A 6,000-nucleotide genomic window follows, 5' to 3' on the forward strand; every position below is an offset into this window, starting at 1 on the left:
GAGTTTGTCTAAGGACCTGAGATCAATAGAAAGGAAATGTTTGGGCTAAGATAAAGAATTGTGGAGACCAAAGTTTTATTGTGCAGAGGAAGATTTTAGTTAGCGGGCTTCAGAGAGAATAGGTTGTAAAATGTTTTCTTATTGAACCTAAAAGGTGCCTGACTTTTAGTTAATTATCTCCTGGATATGGAAAAAAAGACTTTTTTAAAAAAAAAAAGCAAAAAGAGATTTTCTACAGAATGTAGATTTTTCCCACAAGAGACAACTTTGCAGGGCAATTTCAAGACATGACAAGAAAATATAATTGGGGTTAAAACATTTTGATTTCTTTCCTTATTTGTTATGTGATGTAATGCCAGAGCCAGGTTGGAAAGCAGGCCACCTAATACTGGGTTAAATAAAACCCCTCTGATGAGACTTTATGGCTTGCAGGGTGTGACTCCCCAGGTCCCTTAGGTAGGAATTTGGCAAGATACGAAAAACATGTCAGAGTTTAGTCCTCAATTTCATTCTTCATTTAACCTGTCTGAGGACATTGCCTCATTTTGTTCTCTCCTGCACCATCTTTTTTCCCTTCAAATAGGTCTCTCCAATCAGCCTACTAATATGCTGTTACTTCCGCCCATTATGAACCCTTTGATCCCACTTTTTCCGCCAGCTACTGCCTATTTCTCTGCTCCATTTTATAGCAAAACTCCTCAAAAGAGATGGCTGCCCTCACCATTGATTTCTTAACATTTTTTCTTGAACTCACCCCAGTCAGGCCATCAATCTCACCACTACTGAAACTGCCCTTGTCAAGAGCATCAATGACCTCGTTACTAAAACCAGTGAAGAGTTCTCAGTTCTCATCTTACTTGACCCATCAGCAGCATTTAACTTAGCTGATCATTCCCTTGCTGCAACACTTTCTTTACCTGGCTTCCAGGGCACTGCAGTTTCCCTTATACAACAATGGTGACTCCTTTTTGGTCCCTTGTTCTCATCTCTTGTCATATTGGACTGCCTCAAGGTTCAATTCCAGAACCTCTACTCTCTATTCACCCACTTCCTATGCTCATCATTCCTATTTTTATGTCTCAGGTTTCAGGATTTCCTTTTCTGTTCCATTGATCTTTCTATCTTTTTCTTAACCAATGCTGTTTTAATTATTGCATTTAATTACCTGTTTATATGAATATACATATGTATACACCTATAGTTATTACATATATTAAATACATAGTAATACATATATATCTGCCATTCTTAGTTATATATAACTATACATATATTTAATGATATACAATTCTATAATATATAATTATTATTATTCTATAATATATTATTATTTTATAATATATAATTATAATTTTAATATCAATGTAAACTATATTAATATAATATACTTAATTATACATTTAATTTAATTATATACTGCTATATATAATTAAATCTATATATCTATATAACTTATAATTTATTTTAATTTAATTATATATACTATATAGTTATATATACATATATGTAATTATATATAGTATAATTATAGTATATATGTATATATAATGTAAGTAAATATATAGTATATATTTATATATACTATATATTTATACATATGTCTTTATATATACTAATATATATACACATATGTAATATGTACATATGGCATATATTTTATAGTGTATATATACATATATGTAATATATATAGTAATATGTAAATATATAGTACATATTTAATTATATGGTAATATATACACATATATGTAATATGTGTATTATAGTACATATTTTATAGTATATATACATATATGTAATATGCATATGTAGTATACATTGTAATATGTAAATATACATAGTATATAATTACCATATATTAGGTTGGGGCAAACTTAATTGTGGTTTTTGCAATTAAAAGTAATACTCTATAAAATTAATTACTATATATTTAATAATATATAATAATCTATATATAATATACATATATGTATACATTGAAAGTAATGGCAAAAACTGCAGCTACTTTTAATAATTCTGCCCTTGCTTCTAGAGAAAAAATTAGGTGGACCTCATTATTGCTCTGGCCACTCACTGTAAATTATGAAGCAGTCTCAAATTACCTTTTAGAATATGCAGTCTCAGGCAAGGCATGGTGGCTCATGCCTGTAACCCTAGCACTTTGAGAGGCCGAGGTGGGTGGATCACCTGAGGTCAGGAGTTTGAGACCAGCCTGGCCAATATGGTGAAACCCCTACTAAAAATATGAAAAAATTAGCCGGGCACCTATAATCCCAGCTACTCAGGAGGCTGAGGCAAGAGAATTGCTTGAACCCAGGGGGCAGAAGTTGTGGTGAGCCGAGATTGCACCACTTCACTCCAGCCTGGGTGACAGAGTGAAAATCTGTCTCAAGGAAAAAAAAAAAAAAAAGAATATGCAGTCCGAGATAAAACCTAAACTTTCCATTTCATGATTTAGGGATACTCTGCTGTTCCCAGGTTAAGACCTGAGGCAGATTCGACACCTGGGTGAGTATGGCTGACATCTTCTTGCTTCTTTATCCACTCTTTCTCCTCTCACTTGCTAACTGAAGTTTCAGATACCTCCAGGACTGGAGTAGAAGAAAAGAGAAGTAAAGAGAGCAAGAGAATTCCAATTTGACTTGTGCTGTCATAAGATGGCTTCAGGCTCTCTGGAGGCTCATGTCTTTCTGTCTAGCAGACATTTAAAAATGAATTTTTCCTTCATGGATACTCTTGAGGGTTTCCTCATGAAATCTCTTACTCAGGTTTTCTCACCTATGTTCCCTTGATATGGATGAAATACTAGTCTCTGGCTTATCAGATATTCTTACCCAGCTCCAAGGATCCAGCAATACCTCTAGTTTCTTTCTGCTGAGTCCTTATTGCTCTTTCATGCACCCAATCCAATCTCTGCCAAATGGCTCTCATGTGCCATTTATATTTTGTCTCCATAAAACATGCATTCTTGGCCCACTAACTCTAGGAATGCTGTCCAATTCCAGCATGATAGCAAACTCTTTGTCTACACCATCAGAGTAATAAGCAAGCCTCTCTCTCAACTTTTACATTTTCTAGGTGGGATTCAGATACCAGTGCCCTGTGTTGCTTTTTCTCCCAACGTCAGGGGGCACATATTCCTGGGGGAAGTGATCTTATTCCTACATCGGGGTAAATCTTGGTCGATTTATGTCAATCACTGTAAATCTATTCTCCTTACAAGTGATTGTCTTAGGCATGGATATGTGGTACAATTCTAGCCAATGATAAGTAGAGAATTCTGCGGAGAAGCATGTTTTTGAGAAAGGTTTCTTCACTCTTATAAAGCAAGCTGTAGTAAAAGATGGACTTTTTCCCCCTTCTGGACAATTTCTTGTCTGGATGATATGTGTAAATCTCTCACATATGACAGAAGCCTGTCTGAGGAAAGTTGACATGGTGAAGACTGCAGAGTGGGAAAAGAAGTGCCTTATGACATTACTGAGTCACTGAATCAAGCCATCCTGAAGCCACTCCACCTTAAGACTCCTTGTTAAATGGAAGAATAGATCTTTATTATGTTTAAGCCATCCTCAGTTGGGTTTTGTGTTTCTTGCAGCCAAAACCTCCCATCTGACAGAAGTAGTACTGTGTGCTGAGACAATGCTAAAGCACTGTATGTGTGTTCTCCTATTTAACAACACACACACACACACACACACACACACACGTATATATACACATATATATGCTGTTATTGTCTCAGTTTAAAGATAGGTAAACTGAAACATAATGAGGTTACAAAGTTAAGAAGTGAAAGAGGTGGGATTCAAACCCCATTTGTCTGACTTCAATGCCCAAGCCCTGAACCACCGTGCTGTAATACCTCCTGGTGGAGACATGACGGGACACTACCTGAGAATATCTGGGACAGCCCTCTGAGGAATTTCCTCTTTGAAAGAACTTTTATATTCCTATCTGATAACTGAGGAATTCAGAAGGTGGGACGCTTTGCAGAAGCACCAATTTCTGGCATTAAGCCAGTGGAACTTGTCCCTTAAAGTCCTTATTTTGTAGTTACAGCCTGGTGAGACCTAGAAGTCAGAAATGCATTAACTTTGTACTTTTGATACCTATTTGGGACAGAATGCTGCACTTAGTATCTGTCCTCTGAGTTTACTTTTAAAAAAAATTAGCCAAAAACCTCCCAAAGCATACTTTTTAATGGAACTTTGGAAAAAAGTCATAATGCTCTTTGAACAGATTATGGGTACCAAATTTCTTAATGGAAAAAATTTTTTTAAAAAAAGATTTAGTCCAGGAAATTGGGAGTCTAAAGAGTGTTCTTTAAGATAAACAGGAAGTTTTAAGAGAAAATGTCCAATTTAGGGGCAAGGTGCTGAGAATACATATAGCATGTAGTCATCAGATAGGAATATAAAAGTTCTTTCAAAGAGGTGTTTTGTTCCATGAGGCAAAATAAATACTTTATGAACACTATTGATTAGGCAGGGTCTGCCACAGCTCTCAGCCATAAGGGGTCAGGAAGTCTCTATACTGTCAAGTCCTAAAGTCCAGGCATCAATCAGGAGAAATGAACAGGATTTATATTCACAGTAAAGAAAAGTCTTCCCACCCCAGGAGTAGGCAATCAGAATTCTTATTTATTGGGGTTTATGGAACTTTAAAACAGAAAGTATAAAAATGACTCAAAATCCCCACATGAAACAGAATATTGATTTGAGGGAGCATGAAATGCTAATATACATCAGATCAAAGAGGCTTGATTTAAAAATAACAACTATGAACACAGCAGAGAACGGAAGCTGTGGCTCTCTTTACCCTTAGAGTCTCTGGTCTCCCCCTAAAACCCCAGAACACCACTCACAGGTGCTTTGTTAGCTCGGGTCCGCATGTCTTTGTGTCCCAGAGCAACTGAGCTTATCAAGTTGCTCAGCAATAACTAAAATATTTGCCACAGGGCCATATTGCCTATCCGAGGCTAGCTGAAGCACATTGTTGTCTGCCTAGTTACAATTGTGTCAAATAAATAGAACTGGGCATTTTAGAGTGCTAATTTTCTTTTCTGTGGTCTAGATCAATTTAGAGCCATCTCTGTTGGCTATTTGTGAACATTTAGTAAACCTCTTTGAGTTTGGTGCTAATTAGATTTAGTCAGTCTTATGGTGACTCTGCAAACTGATCCATGGACTGTCATTTCTGACAGAGATTATCAGTGAAGTCATTTTTGAAAAGTGGTCACGAATTTGTATGGAAGTGGTTATGAATTCCATTCTGTAATTTTTAATGAAGAGTAGTAACGTAAGTAAAAGATAATTCTTTAAATAAAATGTGAGGAAATGATTTATTGTCCCCAGAAATTCCACTGAAGAACATGAATTGTTTATACATTTCATGCCTCATGTAGTAGGAGTTACAGATGTACAAACTTCCACTGGTATTTAGGTGAGCTAATTTCTCCCCGTGTTTGTAATCATGTGGCTTTCACTGTATGTTTTATAGGTCCTGGGAATCTCTGCGGGGCCTAGTGACTGCCAAATCATTTGCAACTGATTTAGCGCCCTGAGTTCAAAAAAGGGCCTGAGAAAATCTTTTATTGCTTGACCCATTTCAAAACTTTTCCTCAGCAGCTCAACTCAGTCCTTTAAAATCCTCATGGTCCAATAATACATTCTCCCAATAATACATTCACCCCCACTGAGTTGGGGGTTGGGGAGCAGGAGGCCCAGTTCAGGTCATGCTGGGCTGTTTCAAACCTTCTCCATTTTCCTTCACGGTGGCCTGAGAAGGGAGAAGGTCAGGCTTACCTGCCCTCCTGCTTTACCTGGGCCTGCTTCCGTCTCCTGTGAGTGCTGTGTGGACAAATCCACATGGACACACACACGTTTGTGCACACACACACATGCCTTTCAGGAAAAAAATCTCATAACTTTCAGACAAAGACTGTCTAAATACACATTTAGAAAAAAATGTTCTAGCCATCTTCATCACCCCCAAAATG

Source organism: Homo sapiens, chromosome 1 (genome assembly GCF_000001405.40).
Source record: "Homo sapiens chromosome 1, GRCh38.p14 Primary Assembly".
NCBI lineage: Eukaryota > Metazoa > Chordata > Mammalia > Primates > Hominidae > Homo > Homo sapiens.